The 27295-nt window shown below is 42.7% G+C and overlaps 1 protein-coding gene and 1 long non-coding RNA gene across 12 annotated transcripts in view, besides 1 other annotated feature; both read right to left on the bottom strand.

The window, feature by feature from the left end:
- Positions 1 to 27295, bottom strand: part of TSNAX-DISC1 (TSNAX-DISC1 readthrough (NMD candidate)) — a 512620-nt gene that overhangs the window by 165006 nt on the left and 320319 nt on the right. The gene's annotated exons all lie outside the window — the stretch shown is intronic.
- Positions 1 to 27295, bottom strand: part of DISC1 (DISC1 scaffold protein) — a 414483-nt gene that overhangs the window by 165006 nt on the left and 222182 nt on the right. The window contains exon 10 of one of the 11 annotated variants that reach the window (NM_001012959.2): positions 9559 to 9744. The exons of 9 other annotated variants lie outside the window; for them this stretch is intronic. In NM_001012959.2, coding sequence (NP_001012977.1) covers positions 9689 to 9744 — 56 coding nt within the window. In that variant the 3' untranslated portion in view covers positions 9559 to 9688. Of the gene's footprint in view, positions 1 to 9558; positions 9745 to 20886; positions 21529 to 27295 lie in introns of those variants that run through there. One more of the 11 variants, NM_001164539.2, reaches the window with a different exon arrangement.
- Positions 6590 to 6639: a silencer, noted in NCBI's record as "silent region_1956". NCBI's record gives its function as "represses an Ori minimal core promoter by ATAC-STARR-seq in GM12878 lymphoblastoid cells {active_cell/tissue: GM12878}" and the evidence as "EXISTENCE:reporter gene assay evidence [ECO:0000049][PMID:35858748]".

The raw sequence follows: 27295 nt of genomic DNA, 5'->3' as shown, positions 1-27295 counted from the left end.
GTGCCACACACTGTTAAATGACCAGATCTCATGAGAACTCACTATCGTGAGGACAGTACAATGCGGGGGATAGTGCTAAACTATTCATGAAGGATCCACCCTCATGATCCAACCACTTCCCCCCAGGTCCCTACCTCCAACACTGAAGATTACATTTCAACATGAGATTTGGGCAGGGACACACATCCCAAGTATATCAGAGGGGGTCCTTCAGAGTGTCCTTGCTGTATTTTGGGGCTCTCGGGCCTTTTCAGCCCACATTTATCAGTCATTTCCAAATAGAAACTAGTTCAAGAGCATTCCTAGGAAGCTGAGTTAATGGGCTACACCATGGCCCCATTAGCCAACGTGTCCTCGCCATTCACATACCTTCTGGTACAGTTTGCTTTATGCTTTTTCCCTCTTTTGTCCTCTTTATTTGTGGCCCCAATTCCCAAGCCAAACTGTGTGGGGGAATTGTGAATGATCTAAGTTGTCCATTATAGACCTTAGGAGAAAGTTGGAAGGAAGGAGAAGAGCAAAGCCAAGCCACACCTGCTGTCACCAGACAGGAGAGTGAAAATGACCATGGAGCCTTGTACTTGGTAATTCAGAGGGAGTACAGTTTAGTTCCTTCAAACTAATATGTTTAAGTAATGACAGACCTAGATGTGTTAGAGGGAAATTTATAGATCATCTCAACTCTTTTTCTCATTTACAGATGAGAAAACAGTGAGGTCAAGGCCAGGGAAGTGAGGTCAAGGCCAGGGAAGTGAATTGCCCAAGTACCCAAGGGGTGGTCAATACTGCTCATGATTTCAAACCTTGGTAGGCAGCTGGCCATCCTTACAGCAGCAGACATTGCCAGAGCGCCCAGGCAGCAGGATGAGGAGCCCCTGGCTGTCTAACACTCGGCTGACAAGTGGCCTTCACTCACCAGGGCCGGGGGCTGGTGGCTCATGTCCCCTTACTCAGCTGACAGGTGGCCTTCACTCACCAGGGCTGGGGGCTGGTGGCTCACATCCCCACAGGTTCAGCTGCAGAGTCTTCTCCTCTCCCCATCACTGACCATAGCATCCTGGATCATCTACTCCAAACATTACAGCTTAATAAAAATTCAGCTTGCCACAGACAGGGCAGATTTTACAAAGATAGAGATTGATTTTTCTATCAATGTTGATATCCATGGGTTGGACAAGTGAGAGGACAGCATAAGGTTGGCAGAGAACCAGATGGCCACATCCTGATGATGCTCTGCCTGGATCCTGAGGGCTTACGATGTCTCCACCCTAGTTTCTGATGGAGATTTTTTTCATGTCTTCATTGGTATCTCACTTAATGCTATGGTATTCTTTTTTTTTTTTTTTTTTTGAGACGGAGTCTCACTCTGTCACCCAGGCTAGAGCTGGAGTGTAGTGGCGCGATCTCGGCTCACTGCAAGCTCCGCCTCTCCAGTTCACGCCATTCTCCTGCCTCAGCCTCCCGAGTAGCTGGGATTACAGGCACCCGCCACCACGCCTGGCTAATTTTTTGTATTTTTGGTAGATACGGGGTTTCACCATGTTAACCAGGATGGTCTCGATCTCCTGACCTCGTGATCCGCCCACCTCGGCCTCCCAAAGTGCTGGGATTACAGGCGTGAGCCACCACGCCCAGCCTGGTATTCTTAATAATTCAGATGGTTAATACAGGGTTAAATTGTTTTATCGTTTTGAAGCACAGGACTATGAAAACAAGTGTTTTTGAATGGAAGGGACAAAAATCAATGAGAGTGAGTTAGGAAGTCTTTGGCCAGGCCATGTGTTTGAACATCACTATTTAAGAATATTGGCTGGGCGCGGTGGCTCACACCTATAATCTCAGCATTTTGAGAGGCCGAGGTGGGCAGATCAGGAGGTCAAGAGATCGAGACCACCCTGGCCAACATGGTGAAACCCCATCTTTACTAAAAAATAAAAATAAAATAGTTGGGCGTGGTGGTGTGCGCCTGTAGTCCCAGCTACTCGGGGGACTGAGGCAGGAGAATCGCTTGAACCCAGGAGGCAGAGGTTTCAGTGAGCCAAGAACGTGCCACTGCACTCCAGCCTGGTGACAGAGTGAGACTTTTTCTCAAAAATAAAAAATAAAAGATTATTTAAGGCCAGACACGGTAGCTCACACCTGTAATCCCAGCACTTTGGGAGGCCGACAGGCAGGTGGATCACCTAAGGTTAGGAGTTCAAGACAAGCCTGGCCAACATAGTGAAACTCCATCTCTACCAAAAATAAAAAAAATAGCTGGGCGTGGTGGTGCATGCCTGTAGTCCCAGCTACTCAGAGGCCGAGGCAGGAGAGTTGCTTGAACCTGGGAGGCAGAGGTTGCAGTGAGCCAAGATCACACCACTGCACTTCAGCATTCAGCCTGGGCAATAGAGAAAGACTCTGTCTCAAAAAAAAAAATTATTTAAGATGCCCTCTTCCAATGATAGAAGTCATAATTTGGGGATTCCAATTACATTTTCCACACAGAACCCCTCTGACAACTTTCTCTTCTTAGAGTCAGTCTCCCATGGCAGTGAAGATCCATGTGTTTTGCAGTTCCTTGGCTCTGCGGGAATGATCTAATTATGAGGTTGAACCCGTTTTCCTTGATAGCTGGAAATTTGTCATCTGCATTTTCCTTAAGGATATTCCTAACCTGCCTTCTCATTAGTAAACTTGTCCTTACAATTCCTAAACCCTCCCAACTCATTTCCTCCTGTGAGTGCACCACCAGATTTTATAAGTACTCTATTCACTTTGGTTTTCAAATCACTAATTGGTCCCTTGTAGAAGACCCAATGCTATGGAATGCAGGGGAGGGACACAGGAAGGGGCGCTAGTCAAAGGACATCATAGAAAGGGGCTGAAACACAAGTCTTTTGACTGCTATCAGGCTGAAGTCCGCTTTGCTTCTGATCTGCAGCCCTACTATAAATCGATGACCTCTTCTTGGCTTTGAAATGGAGATTAGTAGCCTTGCATGATCCTCTTGTGCCTCTCTTACCGGGGCACTAATGGGAAAGACTCCCAAATCTTTCATAGTGACTCAATATCAGATAATGGGTTTGTTCTTCCCAAGGTCTCCTTAACATGGCCACTTTACAGCGGAAGTTCTTGTCGGAAATCTGAGTGCAGAGTCGGTGCTTGTGAGATTAGGCCCTGGAGGTGAAGGCCCTTGCAGGGCTGCACAGAAAGGACATCAGGCCTCCCACCATCTTCTTCCACAGCAATGTCTTCTTCATGGAATAGACAAACTCCTGACGGATGCCTGGAATACATCTTTATATGCAGTAGTGGGAAGCTACATGCAACCAGAGATTATTTCAGAATGTAAAAGGAAAAATTAAAACTGAAAATGTATGTCAAAGCCAATTTCTTAAATAATTGCTTATCTGGGGTAAAAGGAACCTGCCTCTGAAATATGCACTTATCTTGAAAACAGGCAGGCACCCCAACAATAGATCATGTATGGAAAATGAGTTGGGTGGATGAGTAATTTAACGAGAATTTTCTTCAACTGGTTTCCAAAGCATTGTGAAGACTGTGTGCCTGTCATCTGGATTGGTTTAAAATAAAACTCAGTTGATTTTTTTTTTTTAAGAACAGATGGAAAGAGGGACACAAAGGCAAACAGTATGCAAACAACAGCAGAATTTCAAACAGGAGTGGGTAAAGAAATGGAAAATAAACAGAAGTCTAGGAAACAGCTACAACTTCAGCCCTAGAAAGGCATTTTCCAATCTATGATGTAGACACTTTAAAGCTGAATCATCTCTGTGACTCCATCTGCAGCCAAAGCATCAGACTGTGGGGTCTTTTAGGGACCTAGAGAGTGCAGGTATCACTAGATCAGGGTCAAACTTTCAGGAGCATTTGGTTTCATTAAATCAATAAAAGGAGTTAGGAGTAATAAGAAAGTTTTCAAGCAAATGGAGAGAAATAACCTTACAAAAGAACCACATGACACATACATTTTTTTTCATTACTAAGATGGGAGATTAAAAAAACAAAGAATGAAAGAAAGCCAATGTTGAAGAGACTGAAGTACTTACATAATTCAATAGGGTAAGTGATCAAGTACTAAAGTGAAAGTTCTCATTTTTGAGATATAGGTATTGATCTGCTCACACAATCACATCCCCACGCCTTGCATGCATCAGGCTGTCTTCACGCTGTTCACCGACTGAAGGCTTCCTGCCACTGCCCACAGAACTGTCCCAGTGCACGGCTGAGGGCCTCTGCCTGGCAGAGTCCCCAAGAGAAAGCCAGAGGAAGTCCAGGTGTCCACTGTGGTACAGAGATGGGACTCTCCAGTCTCTGAAGGTGAATCTAGCGCACACAGTCCATGGCTCTCCTTTGAATTATGACAGGTGAGACACAGACCAGAAAGAGTTGTTGGGAAATGTCACATGCAGGATCTGGCCAGGGTGCCACCAAGCTGCCCTGGAAACAATTCAGAGCTGGTCTCACCACCCCTGACCCCACATGCCACACATACCACACGCATGCACCCCAAAGGCAAATTCAAACATTATAGAGACCCAGAGACTGCTGGAAAATCACACTCTCCACAGTCAGGCACACATGAGAGGCCGCGATTTAGGGTGGCCTGACTTCCTTTAAGACAGAAGACAAAGAGGCGGAGATTAACACATGGTTGGCTAACTATGGTAGAACCTGCTAAGAGGGTTGTCTATATTTGAACTTCAGGAATAAAAGCCACCAGCTACAGATCGTTTGAATTCAACTGCACTTCCACATCAACGACACAATTCTAGTCAAAGAGAGAACCCACTTAGCACTATGGGCAGAAGAGCGTGTGGCTGTGTTCACTGTTGGTGCCATCCAAGGAAATGTATTAATTAAAGTAAGGATAATTGTGATTCTTCCCCAAACCACCTCCCTATCCTTCTCCCTCTGCCCAGAGTGGGTCCCCTTCCCCAGAACCTTCTATTCTCTCTTCCCACATTAGGTGCTGCCCTCGGAACCTGCCTACACTCTGAGGAGAGAATGGCGACTAATAGGCAATGCTCTGCAAAGTATATATGCATTTGTAGCCTAGTCCAAAAGGAGTCTGTGACTCTAGACTTTCCAGCACCAACCAACAAGAAAGGGAACATCACAAGGCCCTGGGCTCGCTGCATCAATGAGTGCAGTCAGCTTTGAAGCTCCTTTGAGAAGTGGAGACCCGCACACAGTATCTGCCCTATTCCACACAGGTCCAGCCCCCACCACATCCCCAACAGTGCACCCCCAATAGCTGTAAGAAGAAAAATGCGGGTACATATTACAAAACTGAGATTCCCATTTATTCTCAGAAAGTGCATTACTAGAGCAAAATTAAAGTCATGATCGTTTGAAAATCAGATAAGTTTGAAGAAAATATTTATTCTTTAAAATATAATCTAAATTACTTTTTAAATTAAGTCATTTCACCAGGCATATCTCAGTTTGTGGAGGAAATGACAACAGCATAATAATTTTGGAAGGAAAAACTAATGGCTAATCTCTAAAAACAGAGTTTGTAATAGGTTAATAGGCTGGCAATAGTGAAGATATGTCTATCATTCTCGTTTGTCCTCTTGACCATGTTTTGAGGGCTTTTTGGGGGGCTGTCAATCTCCCAAGCCCCAAACATGCCACAGTTCGTGCTGCACTGATCAAGCTGAAGCCTTATGGAAACTGATGGAGCCACAGATGGGCAGCACACCCTGCTCCAGCCGCCTTCCCACAACGAGCTCAGGATAACACCAACAGACAGCTCGGGCCGCTCAGAGACGTAGGTCACAGAAGCCAGCACACTCTGGCCAACTACTTAGCACAAGCTGCAAATCTATTACACCTGAGATCTTTGGATGCATTATAGGGAAAAGAGGGGAAGACAGGTATCTCTAATTAGAACCTTTTGCCTAGCTCATCTAAGAAAGGACTTTAAATTGTAGTGGTCCATCACTGTTTTATTAATTGGATGCCCATGGGGCTCCATGCACTTATCACACTGGCCCTTATCTTACCTTCTTACTAAATAGAGCACACTGGCCTTTGCCTCTTGGTGTCCTGCCTGGGAGTGATGTTCCCATATCAGGAGCTTCCCCTGATGATCCCAGGCAAAATGGTGGCCAAGTGTTCAAACCTCATCTTCTGAGCCTTCCTCACTCTCCCTTTCTTATATCCTGCCCCACCCTAAGAACTGACCTGTCTCTAGGACCCCCGTACTCTCAGATCTCCTATAACCACTGCTTACAGGCTCAAGTAGTGCCCCCAGAGGTAGTCCCTTTGCTAGCTTTTTCCTATTTAAAGTTCAGCTTTGTGTTCTGTTTTTCATACACGGGCTCTCCCCAGGTCTAAAGGATAGTAAGAATTTTATCTAGAAAAAAATATGACTGCTGAATAAGGCAAGACCCCTCTCAGGAACCAAGGCCCAAACAATTTCATCTCAAGATCATCACAAAGAGACTCTGCTATGGTTTAGATACTTGGCCCCTCCAAAGCTAAAGTTAAGATTTGCTCCCCAATGTTTAAGGTGGAGCCCAATGGGCAGTGTTTGAGGCATAGGTGCAGGTCACCCTTGAACAGATTAATACTCTCCCTCGGGGGTGAATGAATTCTCACTCTATTAGTTCCCCTAGAGAGCCTGGCACCTCCTCCTCTTTCTTGCTTCCTCTCTGGCCAGAGATCACATGGCCAGAGAGGAAGCAAGAGAGAGAGGCCCTCACCAGATGCAGATGCCAGTGTCATGCTTCTTGTACAGCCTGCAGAACCATGAACCAAATGAACTTCTTTTCTTTATAAATTCCCCAGCCACAATTATTCCATTATAGCAACACAAAATGGACTAAGACGCTATTCATTAAGTGGAAATGGATCATCATAAAGGTCTTCATCTTTGACATCTCTAACACAGGCCTGACTTATATTTTTGTTGAGGGCCATTTTTACTTTTTGCACTTCACACTCAAGACAACCAGCAAGTCTGTTCCTGAGTTAAGTGTCTGTAAAGACAAGACAGACTCCCCGGTGGTTGTATATCTTTCAGGCATATTCTTCTCCCAAACCCAACCATCTTCTTCCTTCACCACTTTTCATTCACTCATTCATTCATTCACTCATTCATTCAAGCAAGCTGATATGTTTGACATGCTGATATGTAGTCTGTGTCCCAGACTAAATGTCTTCAAGATCAGCACTCTCTATCAACCTTCTGAAGCTTCTCATTATGGGTCCAGCAACGTGGCTTCTTCCTCGCATTTAGGGCAGCAGGGTGGGGGACAGTACATACCCCTGCTCTTGTCCTGATTATTATTACCCCATGATTGCATTTCCCCATTGCTCCTCTCAAAAATGTATAACCGGTAACTCTTTTTTTTTTTTTTTCCTTTTTAGAGACAGGGTCTTACTCTGTCACACAAGCTGGAGTGCAGTGGCACAATGACAGCACACTGAAGCCTCAAACTCCTGAGCTTGAGCAATCCGCCTGCCTTAGCCTCCTGAGTGACCAGGACTATGGTTGCTTACCATCATGCCCAGCTAAATATATATATATATATATATATATATATATATATATATATATAAGAGATGGGGTCTTGCTATGTTGCCCAGCCTGGTCTTGAACTCCTAGCCTCAAGTGATCCCCACGTCAGCCTCCCAAAGTGTTGGGATTATGGATGTGAGCCACTGCGCCTGGTTTGCTGACTCTTTCTAAAGGCCCTAGATTTCATTTCATGTTATCATCTTCTTCACCTCTCTCACAAAGAGAAAAAAAATAAGGTTTGATTAGGCTGCCAGCTGTTTTGAGGATGCATAGTTAAAGGCTGGTCTAAGCACATCCCAGGACTGGAAACTTCCATGACAATGGCCTTGAAGCTCAGTATTGCCTAGCAAAACCACCGGCAAACCCTTGAGAAGGAATAAAGAAAGAGATGAAAAATAAAGGAAAACGATGAAAGAGGGAAAGAGGAGTTAAGGACAGAGTGGAAAAGGGGAGGGAAAATACGGACTAAGAGTGAAAACTGGAGACAAGATAGGAAAGCAGAATCTCTTCTGACCTAAAAAGGGGAGAACGGAGGGTTTGGGGCAGGTGCTACCGAGCACTCTCCTTTGCCCACCTGAGAATGCCAGCCACATGCATGTGACTTCTTCTCAAAAGCAGAAACAACTGTTTATTTTTTTATGCCTCTGAGTGGGAGTGTCCTTGAGGTTTTGTTTTTTCTTGTCCCCCAGCCAGCTAAGCAGGAGCTTTAAAACACACTCAATGCCAAAGCACACTTATTGCAATACAAATGGAAGATTAGCAGAGGAATGCTAAGGGGACAGTGGCAGCTTTTTTCTCTCCCTTGCGAATAGCCAGGTTTGAAGTGCTCTGCTCACCTTCTACAGATAGTCTTAACCAAGCTGATGATTCAGGCTTGGTGGATTAAAAAGACTGTGTCCTTTCATTAAGCCATACATAGTGCTCCAACTGTTTCCTAACCAGGGTTTCCAGTTCTTCAGTTTGTAATCATTTGCAAGGACTTAAAACTTTTCTTTCTAAACAAATCTAACTGTATGGGAAGATCTATCAACAACAGGAGAGGAAAACTGCTGACTTATGGGTAACACGACAATAACAAATGGGCCACAGGGCTGTGTGCCCAAGACTCATCTTTTTTTTTAAAGCTTGAAAATGAATTCCTCCTGTCTTGCACACTCAGGAGGGTTTACTAGCAGCCTAATTAATTAAGAGCATCTATGTATCTGATGGGGATGCTCCCATGGCTGGAACAGGCGCTCTCTGCTCCTCCTGGGTACCTCACTATTCCCTCTATTATTATTATTTTTTAAACACAGTTCCAAACCACTTTTTACAGCCTCCAGGGTCTAGCTACGGGAAACCTTCCACGAATCAGCCCCAGTTCTTCTATGCTGCCTATTCTCATCTGAAGCAAAAGAGGTACATCCGTTGCATGCTAAACAATTACTTTCTTTAAATCTTTCTCATTTCCGATCACATGGAATGGCAGTGTGATAGCTAACCAGACATGTGAATAAGTCATGGAAGATTTTTTTAAAGCAGATTTAAATAAAATATCCCTCATTATGGTGCTTAATTCCATCTACTGCTAAGAAGACAGCCATCTGGAGAATACCAGCAAGGTGGGTATTAAGGAGGCATGCGCACCCCATAACGTAACACTGAAGCAGAGGTTTGACGCCAGGCCTCAAGAAGACTGGTGATGCTATCAAGAAGGAATGTAATTGTGTTGATTTATGTGTTATTTTTATTCTGTATTTTAAAGGCATGAAGACTGGCTATCCCGAGGTGATAAATGAGGTCTTAGAAATGGCATCTTTCTTTTGAAGTTTGTCCCACGAAGTTGTACCCTCCTGCGGCAGAGGATGAGCAGACGGTAAGCTTTGCCACAGCGCCCTCTTGTGTTCAGAGAACCGCAATGACAACATTTCCTCGTATTAAGAAACTATCATGACTTTAATTACAGATTAATTATACCCTTTCGTCAAGGTTGAAAGAAGAATCCATACAAAGCACGACGACTAGAAAGTCGAAGACATGCTTTCTTTTCTTTTTTTCTTTTTATTGTGACATCATGTCTCTTCAATGCCCTTTCAATTAATAGTAGTTGAGCGCTGGGGGCTGAAGTCAGACTCTCTGGGTTCAAATCACAGTGCTGTGTCCTGCAGGCTGTCCTCAGGCAAGTTGCTGACTTCTCTGTGTCCAGGACTCTGCATCACAGTACTTATATCCTAAGGTAGTAGTGAACATTAAATATTAAGGACTTCGAAAGTGCCTGGAGCCTTGTAATAAGTGTTAGCTGTTGGTCATTATCATTGATGTTATTTTTTTTAATAAATCAAAGAATTGTTACATTTCTGCTTGAAGTGACTTCAGAGATAATTAAATCCAAGTTTTTCATTTTGTAGATGAGAAATCTCTGGTCCAAAGGAGCAAAGTGAACTGCCTACAGTTGCCTAATTAGTCAATGGCAGAGCTGAAACTGGAATTTAAATCTTCTGGTTCTCTAGGGCCCGGGTTTCTGTCTTTTCTGGAGAACAGCTCCCATAGGAAGCTCTTTTTGCTCTGCACGTGCAGGGGGTAGACTTGCAGGAACTTCATGCAGGGCCCTGGGGGGATGTGGGCCACTATGGGAAAGGCACTGAGCCACACACACACACCAGGCTCAGAGGTCTGGACACAGGAGTAATGAGTTGAGTAATCCCTGTCCTTTTTTGCCATGACAATGAGATCGATAATCCAAGACTTACAGAACTGGATGATGTGAACTATAGTCTGCCTAGAAATATTGGTCTTAACCACTTTCAGGAAGACTAAAATGACCACACACATATACAAAAAAGTCTAATGCTTGTAAATCTGTTTTTAGAGTACCAGATTCCTAAGCTGCCATATCTTCTGAGATAATATCCAACTCCAAAGCTGAGCTTCCAAGAGGGCCTTGTATGAATATGGAACTAAGAGGCACACTGGCTGCAGACCTGACTTCTCTCATGTACTGTTTCTGTTCATTTTCTTTTTAAAGAAAATATCGTATCACAAAAGGACAAATGTCATGTGATTCCACTTATATGAGGCACCTAAAGTAGTCAAATTCAGAGACAGAAAGTATAACAGAGGTTGCCAGAGGCTGGGGGAAGGGAGAATGAGAAGTTATTATTTAATGGGTGTGGCCAATATTGCCAAGGAAATAGACGTCAGTCTACAGATCAGTTAGTGTTTACATTTTCAAAATTCAACCTAATGTTTATTAGGCTAAAGATTATGTTATCTTGAATTAAGACTCATAATACAACAAAGGTTTAGCCTCCCATCCTGGGTGAACCTCTGGGATTTCTTAACCTCCTTTTGATTTTCTGGCATCACTGAAAGCCGACATATAAACAAACCAGTGTAACACAATCACTGCCCAATGTATTGGTGGTCTTTGGCAAACATGAAGAGTGGGCATTAACGAATGATACTAGACAGTTCTCTTCCCCTGCAAAGACATGTGGACTTCAAATAGGAAACATCAGCATACAGCAATTGTCAGACTCCCAGGTCAGCATGTTTGTTTGGAAAGAGCTCTAGAGTGAAGACCGAAAGACAGGGTTCTGGCTCCAGCTCACCTACACACTTGTCGGACCTCGGCAAATGGAGTGAGTTCTCTGGGCCTTTGCTTGCTCCTCTCTAAAACAGGGACTCAATAGGTGATCTCTAAAGTCCTTCCGTGATCATTCTGTGACCTGGGCCCAATACCGCTCCAGGTCTACCACAGCCGTGGTGTGGAGTGCTATTCATAACTACATAACTGAGAAACTTTCAAAGGAGATTTAATTGTACTAAGACTACCATGCAACCAAATAAAATAATTAGACTGCTACTTTCTCCTTCTGGAGTAATCTGATATTCAGGATGAGAGATTTAACATAGGATTTTATATATCAAAACAAAAATAAAATTGGAAGGAACAATATACAAGAATTTTTGTATAAGGAAGCCTTCTTAACATCTACCTTTCTTTTTAAACGGTCATCACGTCGTTCAGTACCAAAAAATGGTGTCCACCTCCTCAGATTTTTTTGTTGTTGTTGTTGTTTTATTTTGTTTTTGAGACGAGTCTCCCTGTCACCCAGGCTGGAGTGCAGTGGTGCGATCTTGGCTCACTGCAAGCTCTGCCTCCCGGGTTCATGTCATTCTCCTGCCTCAGCGTCCTGCGTAGCTGGGATTACAGGCGCCCACCACCACACCCAGCTAATTTTTTGTATTTTTAATAGAGACGGGGTTTCACTGTGTTAGCCAGGATGGTCTCAATCTCCTGACCTCGTGATCTGCCCACCTCGGCCTCCCAAAGTGCTGGGATTACAGGCGTGAGCCACTGCGCCCGGCCCACCCCCTCAGGTTTTCTAATGACACTACCAATATATAGAAAACAGAGGCAACGCTTATGAGCCTCTTATAACTGAATGAAAGATCAAGGTGCTTGTTATACAGACGACATATAGGGAAGCCTGATGTAGGAAAAAAAAATGAAAACTTCTAAAATTCCTTTCTGTTTTCATCTGAAAATTTGCCCTCAGAAATGAGAATAATGAAAAATTGCAAGTATCGTTTTATAAATGATGAGTTGCATGTGTTTTTATTGTTAATTTTGTGTGACGAAAACTGTTTCACTTCCAATGTTCATATACTGCTACCTGGCTATACTCTGCAAAAGGATTTATGAAAAAGATCTTCATAAAAAAAGTCTATAGTACCAGCCAGTACAGCCCTTTTGTGTGGAAAGGCACTAAACAGAACTCCCCAGTGCAAGAGCAAAGGGCATTTTTCTCTTCAGGCGACACAGTGATTTCCTCCAAGAAAAGAAGAATTGAATAACCGCTTTGATTCTGAGTTTCCGCTCATGGACTTCTGATCTACACTGGTCCTTTTCCTCCACATTGTTCCTGGAGAAACTGGCAGTAGACTAGACCTTGGCTCCAGCATCCTTTCATTCTTACGGAGATGAGAAACCAGGGACTCATTGCCCTACTTTCTTAAAAAGCCCAGGGCAAAGAAATGGATGAACTCACCTAGAGATTCTGATATTGGAAAGAAGTTGCAATCTGTCCCATGACAGTTTTATGAGAAGTTCAATCTACCCCAAGAGTCTGAAAGAACCCATATTGTGTTATTAAAAGCAATGGTTCGAATCTACCTGAATTCAACATAAAGCTATGCTTTTGTTAAAAGAATGTTTTAGGCCAGGCGCGGTGGCTCACGCATGTAATCCCAGCACTTTGGGAGGCCAAGGCAAGGAAATTGCTTGAGGCCAGGAGTTCAAGACCAGCCTGGCCAACATGGTGAAACCCCTTCTCTACTAAAAGTACAAAAATTAGCCAGGCATGGTGGCGGGTACCTGCAGTCCCAGCAACTGTGGAGGCTGAGGTGGGAAAATTGCTTAAACCTGGGAGGCAGAGACCGCAGTGAGCCAAGATCGCACCACAGCACTCCATCCCGGGCGACAGAGACCCTGTCTCAAAAAAAAAAAAAAAAAAAAAAAAAAAAAAAAGAACATTTTATAAACTATGTCAATCAAAACTAAATTCTTGTTAGTTCTATATTTTCATGGCAATGAGCCTGCAGACCCTGTGAAGGCATTACAAACTATGCACGTGCTGAAACTTGGAGCTTATCTGCAAGCTAATGAAGACATGTTGGTCTTTTATTATCCCTTTTATTACCAAAATGGGGTGACCGACTTTATTATACAAAAGCCATATAAGTCCTTTGCAGAGTCAGAGACTAACTCTGTCACTTATTTGCTATGAATGTGGGCATTTTTTACTTACATGAGCCTCGATTTCAACAAACTGAGAACAATGTCTACCTTCAAGGTGAGAAATAAACTAATATTCATAAAGTATTCCCAACTGTGCCTGACACACGAAATCTCCAGCAAACAGCAGCTGCTGCCAGCATCACATCATCACTCCATGGTGCAAGTCATTTTGAAATGATCACATGATTTGAAAATATTACCAAACTAAATGTCTTTCCAAGTGCAGCAAAGATATCCAGATGTTTCCTGGGTCACCTGAAGTCACCATTATTAACCCAATAAATGGCCAGAGACACTTAAATCCTCTCTAAGTGAAGAATGAAGAGGTCTTTCTAGTTCTGATTCTATAACATTAACTAAGGGTTGTCTGGATACCACCCTTAAGTAACAAAATATTACAAAGCAATCATACACCAGATACTTCATTTTAAGACAGAAATGGTGTCTGAAAACCAGAAGAAAAAAATTTACCAAGTTCTTTCATAAGCAGACTATTATTCTTATCCTCAAATAACTAAAAATTATCTGCTAAAACCATCGAAGTAGTCATTTCTTGAGTATACTTCTTTGGAGTCCAAATATGACACCACTAAGGGAATCCTCACAATGGGAAACAGTTGCCATGAGTGATGAGAACACCAAGAATGCTCAGCTCAGAGGCAGCATTCCGTCTCTGCTCTGCCTAATAATAGCTGCTGGAGCTACTTCCAGCCACTTAGGCCTCTGAGTCTCAGATGCCTCATGTATAACACCACCTACTCTACAGGGTTGTTTTGTAAATCAGAAATGAAATAAAACGATGATAAAGCTTTTTATCATCCGTAAAGTAATATAACTGTTGTCAGGTGTGGTGGGTGCTGGAGCCATCCTCCTGGTGAAAGCCAGTTGATAAACTTTCAAGAATTTTGTGAGCCACTTGTTAAACCAGAAATAGCTGGAAATCAGCCACAGTGGGAGATTTACACTATGGAAATGGCCAGACGTTGCCAATCAGGACTTTTTTTTCCTGGAGAACTGGTTCCTAAGCATTTAACAGCACACTATTGGTCCTAGTCGCTGTTGTAAATAGATATAAAGCTTCCTAGGCCTACAGATGAGTGAGCAAACATTAATGGGAAAGTAATCTACTATGAGGTAATATCTCAATCAGACTCTTAAAACATTCATTGAATGAGCAAAGCAAGAAATAAGAGAGCATACTAAGAGATGAAAATGGAAAACTATCACGTGACAGCAACCTCTTGTACATGCTGTGGTCTGACCTTGATATTGAATGGCATCATCAAATTGCATAATCACTAAGATCTACCAAAACATAAAGCAAGTTAAAAGCTAAATTTACTCAAGATATAGTGGCTACTGTAGTGAAATCAAAAAGAAATAAATACAAATAACTAAATAATAATTAGGCTCTGAGAAAAATTCAGTCAAGTATGTCCTTTCTGAGAAAAAACTTCCAAAACCACAACAACCAAAAAAAAAAAAAAAAAAAAAAAAACTTGTCAAAATCAATGACAGAGTCTGGGTGCGGTGGCTCACTCCTGTAATCTCAGCACGTTGGGAGGCCAAGGTGGGGGAGGATTGCTTGAGGCTAGGAGTTCAAGACTAGCCTGGTCAATGTAGCAAGACCCCATCTCTAATAAAAATAAATAAATAAATAATAAAAACAATGACAGAAAAGGCTTTTAACCTCAAAATGTAAGAAACACTCCACCCGAAGCACACTCTCAATCATGTCTCATTGCATCTTTGTTAGACAGATAACCAGTCCCACCCTGATGGATTTCAATTCATACAACGGCACCATCACAGAGCCCAGATGAAGCTCCTGTTTCTCATGTTCTTCAAGGACTTTCCTGTGCCGACATTCACAGGAACAGAACAAAACTAAGTTGAAGACTTTCTTTAGATAAAGGAAATAGAAAAACACAATACCATTTGAAGGCAAAAGTGCCCTTGCGGAAAAAAATTGATGAGGGACAGAATCATCTTCAACTGCTAGGTCCAAAAATGCAGTCTGCAATTCTGCCAAACTCATCCCACACAGGACTCTGCTGACACAGGTTACTGTATTGCAAGAGGATGAAACTGGCTTAGATTAGAAAGATTTGTCCCAATTCAAGGAATGAATCAGTGAGAGATAAAGGGTAGGGAAATGTGTCTCATTCAAGCCAAATTTCAGTTTTTGCAAGTGCAAAAAGATAACAAAAAATGAGAATTGTGGGGAATGGAAAATGCTTGATAGTGATAAGTCTGAAGATAGAAAAGAATAGACTCTGCAGCCGGCAAAAATATTATGACATGGAGCCAGGAGGGAAAAAATGTTGGCCCTTTATTTTCTTAAATTCTTTCCTGAAAACGTGGGCTTTTCATATCTGCTTAACCCTGAGAAGGCTCCAAACACACACATCGTAAGACATTACACAAAATATTTTTTGATATGTAGGTTTCTAATCCAAAAATCTGAAATTTGAAATACTTCAAAATTCACTATTTTCTGAGCACCAACATGATGCTCAAAGGAAATGCTGACAGGAGCATTTTGGATTTTGGATTTTGGATTTTGGGATTAGAGATGCTCAACAGGTAAATAAGCAAATATTCAAAAAAAAATCCTAGATCTAAAACAGTTCTTGTCCCAAGCATTTTAGATAAGGGATACTCAACCTGCATTATTATGTTGAATGTGTCTTTGGCTTAGAATATTGTCAGTTTTTCATAAACTAGAAAAATCAATCAGATGCCAAGATTCTTTAAAGTTTTATAGATTTCTGGAATAAAACCCTAAACTATTTAGAGTTAATTTACTTTGCAAATATGAAATTGTATGGAAGAAAAAGACATCACTCCATTTCTCAGTTTTTCACCCTTGATTTCCAATTTTCTGTGGTACAAGATCTCTACCTAAATCCACATTAAAGCATTACATTTAATCTCCTTCCATCACTAAGCCTTTTACAGAGTATGAAAACTGGAAGCCACCTTGCCATGGGAACCCACATTCTCTCTGATTGACAAACTTTGTACTGCTGGAACAATACATGGATGGGAAAGAGGAGCCCCAACGAAAAGCTCAGCTCATCAACCCTCCAAGTCCTCAGTTTTCGACTAACACAAAATCTGGCAGAAGAGCCCAGGCTTCCTTACTCTCTGGCACTCATGCTCTCCATCATCTACCCGTGCTTCTTGTTTTCTTAAGAAGAAAAACTCAGTCATAATGCAAAAGAAAAGAAAAAGTGGTTACATAGAAATCCACTTTCAGAAAAAGCCAGAAGAGATTTTGATGTAATAGCAACAAAAAATTTTGAAGTAGGCATCAAATGGATGTTACAGACTGATGTTTGTGCCCTCCCAAAATTCATTTGTTAAAATCCTAACCCCAAAGTGATGGTATTAAGATGTAGGGGTTTTGGGAGGTGATTAGGTCATGAGGTTAGAATCTCCGTGAATGGAATTAGTCCCCTTACAAAAGAGGCCCCAGAGAGCTCCCTCGCCCCTTCCAGAATGGGAGGACATATTGAAAAGGCACCATCTATGAACCTGGAAACAGGCCCTCACCAGACACCGAATCTACCACTGCCTCGATTCTGGACTTCCCAGCCTCCAGAACTGTGAGAGATACATTTCTGTTATTTATGAGCCACTCAGTCTATGGTACTTTGTTACAGCAGCCCAAATAGACTAAGATAATGGAGATAAATAGAAAAGAAATAGAGCAGGGTGGACAGACCTAGATCATCAATGAAGAAACAAGTGAAAATGTGTCAGATAGACATGGGGCACATTGCAAACTTTTTTTTGGTGGGGGGATTATACAGGAAACTAGGTATTGTTTTTAAGCTGAATTCTCAGAACCAGAAGTATGCTGGTTTCCAAAATAGGTTGATGAGATGCAGCTCCCACAGATGAGACCGTGAGCTCAGACACCATTCCCCAGAGCCAGCTGAGGATGAGTGGGCACTCAAGAGTTATAGGGTGTATTTTAAAATAGAAATTAGCTTCTGGATTTTGCAGACTTTTCCAGAATACCTCTGACCAATCAATAGCTTTCACAAGGGTGACCCTGAAATTCATCAACGTTTTACATTTCCAGACCCCATCTCTGAGGTTTCTACTTTCCCCAGATACTTGGAGAAACCTGGGAACAAGGCAGGAGTTATTAAAATACTAAGAAGGCCAGAAGCAGGAAGGTATGGAAACTTCTACAGCACTCCCCAGAGAAACGGAACATGAGGAAGAAACTTGGACTTTGCAACATCTTTTTTGAAAGTGAATAGAAAAAGGAAGACTACAGGAATCGACTCCAAATTGTAACCTTCAGCAGAACAACAGAAAAGGTTGTCTAACCCAGCGAGTGTGTGGAATAGTAAATAAGAAGGTTGAGAAAGAGTAGGGAGACAGAGGAAGACAGCATGCGACACAGACCAGAATGAAGACGAGCACCCTTGCCACCTCCAGAGACAGGCAGAGCTCATGACACAAGTTCAAAACAGGGCTCCCTCCTCTTAATAAGGCTTTCAAAAAAGATCCACAGGAAATTAACTGGTTTTATCCACATGGAAGACTGATAATCAGCCCCAAATGAATGATAAATTGACTAACCATTGGAATTACCTGGAGAACTCTGAAAAACATGCTGAGTCCAGGACCACCTTGGACCAAGGGCTCACCTGCTGGGGCAGGTGGCCCGGATGCTTAGCCAGGGAAGAGAGCCATGGCTATAAATAAGCCCTGACTTAATGTCTTGGAAGACAAGACAAGAAATTCAGTGAGGCTATATTTTATGGGGCAACTGAATTATTAATTGAGTTAGTAAAATCTGTTTTATTTTGCTTTTTTGGTGAAACAACTGAACTGACACAAGTGGTTGTTTGCTTGGATGCTTCTCCAGGCTCCATCCACAATTGTGTTTAGCCCGGCAAGCCACTGGAATGAATTTCCCAGCTGCAATTTAACCCGGGCCTATAGCGGCAAGAGTTAGCTGATGTTTTTCTCCCTATGCTCCAGTGCCTTCAGGGAAATTTGACTTCAAGGTGGGGTGGTGGCAGGCACTTAGGTTTCTCCTCTATAAACCTTTTAGAAAATGCTTGGAAATCACAGCCATAGAAACCAAGCAGCATTCTTGAATGCACTAAGCGGCCAGATTCCGGGTAGCCGGTCCACATTCTTTCTCAGTGTGGCCCGTCTAGTTCTGACAGTGAGAAGTCATGGCTGCATTTGGACTGTGCTGATTCCGGAAGAAAGTCAAACAGACTTCAGCTAACTTCAAGATTCTCTGTAACAAACAAACAAACAATTTTTTCAAGATTCTAATCATTCTAGGTTATTGTTTGCCTGTGTTAGTTATAAAATCCCAGCATCACAAAAAATACTTGACAAGGTCCATGGAGAATATCTAGTATAACCCTAATTTTTGCTGTGAGGAAACTGAGGCCCATGGTGTTTAAATGGCATGGCAGGGATCTGGGACAAACCCCACATGTCGTGATTCCCAGGCCAGTGGCGTCTTCACACACCTGGAGTGCCATCAATGACACTTATCCAGATAATCAATTATAAACATTTTAAATCAGTTAAATAGATCAGAGTTTTCCTGTGCTAGACAGGCTATCCATGTCAACACATGACTTCGAAATGTGTGAAAAAGTAAGAGTAGTACTTTAATTTCTGAAATAAATTTGTACTTGGGAAAGTGGGGCTGACATTGGAGCCTGTAGTTCTGGAGGGTCCCCTAGAGCCCTTGCCTTTCTGTTGTGACCAAAACTCACAGAGTGCCTTGACCGCTCTGTGACCCAGACAGCTGCAGGTTTTTCCCAGCAGGCTTGAACCCAAACCAGGGCCTTGAACATTCCCACACATTGATAAAGGTATCTAAGCTTTTGCCCAAAACACTGAAAGAAACTGGCCCTGGCCCTGAGCCAAATTCCTTAAACCCTCATGTAAACTCCATCCCCTGAGCACCTCGCTGTGGATGTTTCTAGGTGGAAGACCCCTTTTTTCATGCTGCCGCCGCAGGATTGCTGCAGCCCACTCTGCCTAAGTTCCCCTAATGAATGCTTTGGCCTGATCACTCCGGCTTTTACTGCTTCTTTCTTTGGAATCTCAGTAGGCCCCATCTTGGGAAAGTTTGGGGCACTCCTTTCTGGGGACTCCCCTGCCACCACCTTTGGGGTAATTCCAATGATAGGTTCAGCAGGATGAAACAAGGTCACAAAATGAAGCTTCAAGAGGATATGAAGGAAAATACCATGACTTCAGTTCCCCACTGAGCAGCACTGGGAACCATTATCATTGCAACCTGCTCACGCAGGGCAGGCAAGCTCCCTGGGCCGCAGCCACATAAAGAAATGGCAGGGGCAGGTTTTCAACTAGAAGGTCATGTGCCTGAGCACAAGAGAATTACCCTGGAGCAGGGACATGAGAGAGAATCAATGCATGGGAACTAACGGGGCTGCAGTCACTGAAAGCACCTGGAAGTAAGCTCATCCTTAAAATAAATATGACAGATTTCCACAATATCCACAATATCGTTTCAGCAACTTTGATTTCAAACAGCATTTCATTACCAACTGCATTTTAATGGGCACCCCGAGAACAGAGGGGAAGCAGAATAGGGGAAGGGGGAAAGGAGATGATTAACTGCTCTTATGCTCCTGGACCTGCCACCTTCTTCCTGCCTCTTCATTGCACAGTTTCTGCCCTGCATTTTACCATCCACATGCCACAGGATTCATTATGTTCCAATATACTGTGACACATAAATCTGCAATCCAACCGAGAGCTCATAAAGGTCACCATCCAAATTGGGCAACCCATCTCCCATCTGATCATTCTTGCAACTAATGAGCTGTTTAGGCTCACACAGCTTGACAAACATTTGTATGAGTTTATGTTTGCTGAAGCCTTCGGCATATGCACGTCAAGCCAAAAACAAAGGTAGAAGTGTCATCGCCAGATAGTCACCCAGAGAGTGGCAGCCACGACTTTCATGTTCAAAGTGCCATTTTAGGATCTGAGCTTAAACAGTACAGCAGCTGTTTGATTTGGATATCACATAAAATTAATGGCCTAACTAGCAATGAGAACCTTTTTTGGAATATGCACGTGAACATATTCAAGGAAGAAAGATGTGCCTAGGGTTTTTTCAGACTTTGAATCAAGTCCCAAAATAGAGACTTGCTTTTGTGGGCTGTGAAAATGGACCAACTGAAGAGAAAGAAGGGGAAACGTCACTTCCCTTTGGATATAATCACCCTTAAAGTCATTTCATGGAAAGGAAAATAAGCCATCCTTAGGAAGGAGAGAACATAAGGACTCTTGGTTTAAGGGCATGAGGAACATCTCAATTGCTCATCCTCAACCCCTGCCCTCCAATATTTGTGGTTTAGGCTTTATGTTGTAAATGCAAGAAAAGGGACTACTTCATGAAGAGAGTTCAAAAAGAGAAGTGGGATTTCAAGTTTGGGAAGGAGGATTGTTATTTGTGTGTTTGTCTTAATGGAAATTAAGTTTAACTGCTTGCATCAAATGGGGAACATTCTATCACTGTGGATGAAATAACTTGAGCTCATTTATGGAAAGTTATTTTTGTCTTTTTAATGTACTGTTTAATTGACAAAAATTGTATGTATTATATATATAACATGTTATTTTGAAATATACATATGTTATATAGAAAGTTATTTATGAGACACTCTTGTGATTCTTTACAGTACAGTGTAAAGTGAACAAAGACACTTAGAATAAGGTGTAAGTTTTCAAAAGTGTCATTCACAAATTTAAAGATTCACAAAGGACGCTGCATCAACATTGAAAACCAAAATTTTCTTCAACTTTTTAAACTTCTTTTATACTTCCACTAAATAAATTTCTTTCCTTACCTAGAATTTCTTATTTTTCATTTGATATTTCCTCACATTAAAGAATTATTGTAGGGGCCAGGCACAGTGGCTCATGTCTGTAATCCCAGCACTTTGGGAGGCTGAGGAAGGTGGATCACTTGAGGTCAGGAGTTTTAGACCAGTCTGGTCAACATGGTAAAACCCCATCTCTACTAAGAATACAAAATTAGCCAGGCATGGTGGCGGGCACCTGTAATCCCAGCTACTCCGGAGGCTGAGGCAGGAGAATTGCTTGAACTCGGGAGGCAGAGGTTGCAGTGAGCAAGATCGTACCACTGCACTCCAGACTGGGCGACAGAGTGAGACTCCATCTCAAAAAAAAAAAAAAAAAGAATTATTTTAGTTCCTTAGTTTCTTGTATCACATACCTCCAAGTACAGGGTGATACACTACACACCACATAGGAGAGACATAACTTTGAAGTCTAGGATACAAACTTGAATCTTTTCAGAACATAACAACTAGAGGAGGCCTTGCAAAGATTTAACAGCAGGAGGAGAGGCTGACAGCAGGAAGAGCACATGAGAATTCATAGTTATAGCTAAGTGTTTTATTAGAAGGTTTACATATACTGCTCTACCTTTTATATAAAAGAACTATATGGAAATGGATATTAGTAGGTATATTTGCCAGGAGTTTTTCACATATTACACATATTTAACAATTTAACAGGCATTTTACTTTTTAAAAGTTTTACAGTTCTATATATCACATCTATCATATTTCATATTATCACATATATCACTTCAGTTGTCCCTCAGAATGACTAGAATAGGATTTCATGCTCACTTTATAGATGAGGAATTTGAGGCTCAGAGAGAAAAAAATTAGAATGACTTACCCACAATCGCTTAGTAAGAGGTCAGCCGGGATTAAAACTCAGGCCCACCAGACAACAAAGCCCCAGCAGAAGCTAGCCTCATGTTGTTGATTTATGTATTTGTGAGTTGGTTATCAGCCCCAGGGTCATCGTGACCCAAGAATCCCCTTGGGCCGCCCTAGACTGACCACCCCACCCAGGTGGGTGAGCAGCTTGGCCCTTCGTCTAGGAGATTGCTACACTCATCTCAATCCTGTGCAGTAAACAACAGATTATTATTGTCAGTTTAGCTGCTAAAGGAGGTTGTTTAGGGTGGTATTTCCAGTCTCATTAGGGCCACTGGGACTCCCCAAACTTAAGTTCAACCACAAATTCAGGGATACAGGCACTGGAGATGCCAAGTCTGCAGCGAGCCAGGACAAGGCAGCTGCTGTATCTTGGCCCTGGGTCAACCCTGGAGCCTATCTGTAGCCTGTCTTCAGCCTAGTTGAGCCTACTGCTCTGTGTGGCAAGTTCCTCACCAGTCAGCCCTTAAAACAAGAAGCCAGTACCTTCCTCACCAGTCAGCCCTTAAAACAAGAAGCCAGTACCTGTTCCCATTCCACCCTCTCAGTTCGGAAGAACTTTAATGCTAGTACAGTCATGTACCACTTAACCACATTTTAATCAGCAATAGACCATGTATGTGATGGTGGTCCCCTAAGATTATAATGCCACATTTTTACTGTACCTTTTCTGTTTAGATATGTTCAGATACACAAATACTTACAGTGTGACAATTGCCTACAGTATTCAGGACAGTCACATCTGCACAGCTTTGTAGCCTAGGAGCAATAGGCTGCACCACGTAGCCTGGGTGTGGAGTAGTAGGGTGCACCATCTAGGTTTGTGTAAGTACACTCTATGACGTTCACACAATGGCAAAATTGCCTAACGATGCATTTCTCATAACGTATCCCCAACATTAAATGATGTAGGACTGTATTTGATTATTTTGTTTCTACAAATATTATTCTCTTCAGTCCTTTTTTAAAGGATAATGGTAGTTTATTAAGGTCTAAATACCTCCAGAAAGAATGCTAAAGGCAAATATCAGCAAAGATGTCTAGCAGGGCTTCAATGCATCCTCAAGCAGTGTTACTCTTAAAAGCAGAAAAGAGTAGAATGCATTTGGTTCTGTTTAAAAATCAGATCCAGAGGGCATTTCCTAACTGCAGTCTAATATTTTAGAGCTGCTATAAGGTCAAATATTGGGCCCAAATCCATAGCTATGTGGCATAAACCCTTGTAAATGACAAGATGAAATTTGTAAAGAAACAAGATGAAACAGTAAAGAAACTTCAACTTAGTTACAATTCTATTTCTTTTTCATGTTAAAAACAAAAATCCCTGACTTCTTTCTACTCAATATCATTTACAGTCTGACCAGTGCTTCTCCACCATCTCTCTCCCCAACTTCATCCCATATGGAAGATGGAATTGGCACCCATCTTCATTATTACAAAGCTGATGCATTTAGCCCTTGATAACAATGCCAGTTTAGGCAGAGAGGGAACCTCAATTGCAAAATAATTATGGCTGGTTGAAACTGTGAAGCCTGAGGAATCAGAGAATTAATTAGCCACTCCTGCCCTGACTTAAGACCAGGTGCGCATGTGCCCCAAATGTTGCTATATGAATGCTTTACAAAATATTAGGAAAGTTAATGATCCTGACTGTCTCTTGGGTTAAGAGTAATGTGTTTAAGAAAGATGCATAGAAAAGCTGCGTCTGATTTTACATCCTTCGTACCCTTGCTGTGCTCACCCCTGTGAGTAGTTCTCCTATATCACCTTTACTTAGCAATGCAAAGGGAAGTGAAACCAATGAATAGTTTTGGAGCATTCCACATCTAAAACCTGAGATAAATAAGCTCTGAAATAAAGATTCAGAATAATTGAATCAATGAGCGACTCCAAATGTCACCTTCAGATATTCTGAAATGAGATATTCCTCATCTATTACAGAGGAAAAGTAAAATCGATTGAAATTTGTTTTTGTCAGTCAGGCCTTTGGAGACGAGCCGACTGGTGTTTAATCCCATGCTACCCCTCGCTGGCTGTGTGATCTCGAGCAAGTTACCAAACCTTTCAAAGCCTCCATTCCACGACTGAAAAATAGGAAGAGCAACATCCCTCCCTCACAGTGCTGTTCCTGCTGTAGCAGTAGAAGGTCCTGGACAGGTCCCATACCTCACAGCAGCCAGACCTCCTCCTAAGCACCCTCTCCCATGAAGGAGAGTGTGTGAGCCCTTGGTAAACCTCTCACCTTGTGCACCAAAGCTGTCCAGGTTAACACTTTGCTCCCTCCTTTCCAAAGACAAGGTCCCAATTTTATATTCTAAGCCTTTTGTAAAACAGAGGTTCAGAAGAGTGGGGAACTCTGCCTCCTCAAATGCTCATTCTTCCGCCGGCCCATGAGTGCCGCATTCCCACTCAACTGGCCCACATGAAGACCAGCCAGCCTGGCTGCCCTTCTGTCCTCACTTCTCATGGCCCTTACATGTGAGATGCTCCATGACGACGCATCACGGCCAACTCCTCTCCCCATCTCTGTCTCCGCCACAGCCTTTGGCACCTGTAAAATGGGGACACCTGTGCTGGGGGAGCCCCAAGTCTTCTTTCAGGTCTGCACTTCCACGTGAGGTGTGAAATGATCTCATTTCCACCCCCTTCGGACAGGGGTGAATGTAGGCCTGAGCCTGGGTTTAGCTATGTGAGTGACTATATTCAGTTTCCTGCTGCTCAGGGCTGACTGTTTTATAGCAGGTTTTGCAGAATATTTATCGCCCCAACTCTGCGAGAGGATGCTCAGTAGGTACAGGTAATCATCTGTACATTCAGGTTCCTCAAGGACATAAGAGTTAGAGAAAGGCGGCGAATTACCCACTCAGAACAGTGCCGTGAATCTGAAAGTCAATAGCCACCCATATAACCACTGGATTGTTAGCACTTAAAGTTGCCTTCGAAAAACACAGTTAAAAAATATACTCAGAAGCTCTTGTCATCCACATGCCACAGATGTGTGAGGACATTTATGGTAACAACAACTAACATATGGATGAGAATGTACAGTAAGTGCAGGAGAAGCGCTCAGTAAGTGCTCGTCCTGTGGAAGGCAGGCCCCCTTTAGAAGTCAGGGCATACCGACCTCTCCAGGCACATGATCCTGGGAAGCACTGCTGCCCTTGCTATGACCTTCACACCCTGCCAGTGCTGGTTTCCCTGTAAGAGTGTCTGAGATGACTAGGTGACAGCAACAGCCTAAGGAAATCCAAAATTAAAACAATGAGCCATTTGTGTTCCCACTTCTACTGAAGGCTGGTTGAACAGATAGCAGAGAGCCAGAGCGTCGGACTTTCCCAAAAGCAAGAGATATCAGGGCAATTAAAAATAAAAAATGAACCAAAGACGTACCCTTTAAATAGAAGTGCCCCACTTTACCATATTTAAAACAATTCTGATAGAATATTATTTTGCTGCTTCATACAAGACAAGAGAAATCTCTTCTTTTCCACTTTTCTTCTTTTTCTTTTTCTTCTTTTTTTAGTGTATAGAGAACTCCAAAAACATTTCTTAACAGAGCAACAACTTAGGTTGCATTCGTACAGGATCGATATCTCTACAGTGTATTTTTTTACCTGTCACCATCCACACAATTATTTCAGAACATTCCCTGTCAGGTTCTACTTTGTGCTCCGCACAACTCGGGAAGATTTTCATCACCCCAAGGACATGTGAGAGAAATTCATGGTTTACTAGAAGGTTAAGCAACTCAGGCCCTAGCATTGTACAGACAGACATGTCTTTCAAAAGGCAACAGATTTACTTGATGGTCAACTCTGGCGTCATTGGTAACTCACTAAAGGCTGTCTGTCGTAGGATCCTACCTCACGCCTCCGTCTGTTCCCTGATTTAGTGATCAGTAACAGTAATGCCAATGGGGACACAATAAAGACAGCCAAGGGGAAGGCACCCCCATCATCCAGGGACCCCTCCACCCTCCTCTGTTCCTTGTCACATGCACCAATTATGCAGTCCTGCTCTTGGCACACTACCAGAGTTCTCCGTAGGTGGGGCCCAGCCCTCCCACAGGCATTTACTCTTTCACAAAAAAACAGCACAAATCAAGATTAATTAAGATAGAGAAATCTCAAGCAAGCAGAGATTTAGTGACACTTTGGACACCATGGTGAGTGCTATGGAAGCATTTTAATGTACAGAGTCTGTCTCATGCTTCCAAAGTTCTGTTCAAATCAAACCACTGAATGCAATAAGGATCGAAGACACTAGGGAACAAAATGAAAAATAAGACCCAGTCCTTGCTCTTAAAAATCTTACAGTCTATAGGAGAAACTGCATATGTGCTCATGAGAATATAAAATCAGTTCCTGAAGAGAAACCAACGTGTTATGGTGGTGAGAAGACAAAGGTTATATTGAGGATCAGAAAAGGTATCCGACTCTTTCACGAGCTTGTATAATAACTCACAATTCACAGTGAACTGTGTCATGCTTTGTCTTTGACCTAAAATCATACACTTGGAAAGAACCTAAAGGATCATTTGATAAGCAAAATGGTATGAGGGAAACACACGCACACATACACACACATATACACATGAAAACACAAACATACACTACACCACACACACACACCACCATCATCATCATCAGAGCCCTGCTATTGGCTCCTGGTTATTGACTTGGGGACCTTGGGCATGTTGTCTAACCTCTCTGAGCACTAGTTTCCTCTTCTGTAAAATGAGGATAGGCCAGGCACGGTGGCTCACGCCTGTAATCCCAGCACTTTGGGAGGCCGAGGTGGATGGATCACCTGAGGTAGGGAGTTCAAGACCAGCCTGACCAACAGGGAGAAACCCCGTCTCTACTAAAAATACACAATTAGCCGAGCGTGGTGGCGCATCCCTATGATCCCAGCTACTCGGGAGTCCAAGGCAGGAGAATCACTTGAACCTGGGAGGCAGAGGTTGCAGTGAGCCGAGATCAGGCCATTGCACTCCAGCCTAGGCAACAAGAGCAAAATTCTGTCTCAAAAAAAAAAAAAAATGAGGATAATAATTCCACCTTGCAGGATTGTTGTGATAAGTAAACGTAACACATATCAAGAAGCTCAGCAGGTACAAAGTGTTCAACAAATAATATCTCCTGATAATTGGACTAGGTTCCTCCAAAGTGAACTTCAAAAGACTGTCAGTTC

The sequence above is a fragment of the Homo sapiens genome, chromosome 1, assembly GCF_000001405.40.
Source record: "Homo sapiens chromosome 1, GRCh38.p14 Primary Assembly".
NCBI lineage: Eukaryota > Metazoa > Chordata > Mammalia > Primates > Hominidae > Homo > Homo sapiens.
This window is presented reverse-complemented; position numbering and strand designations above follow the sequence as displayed.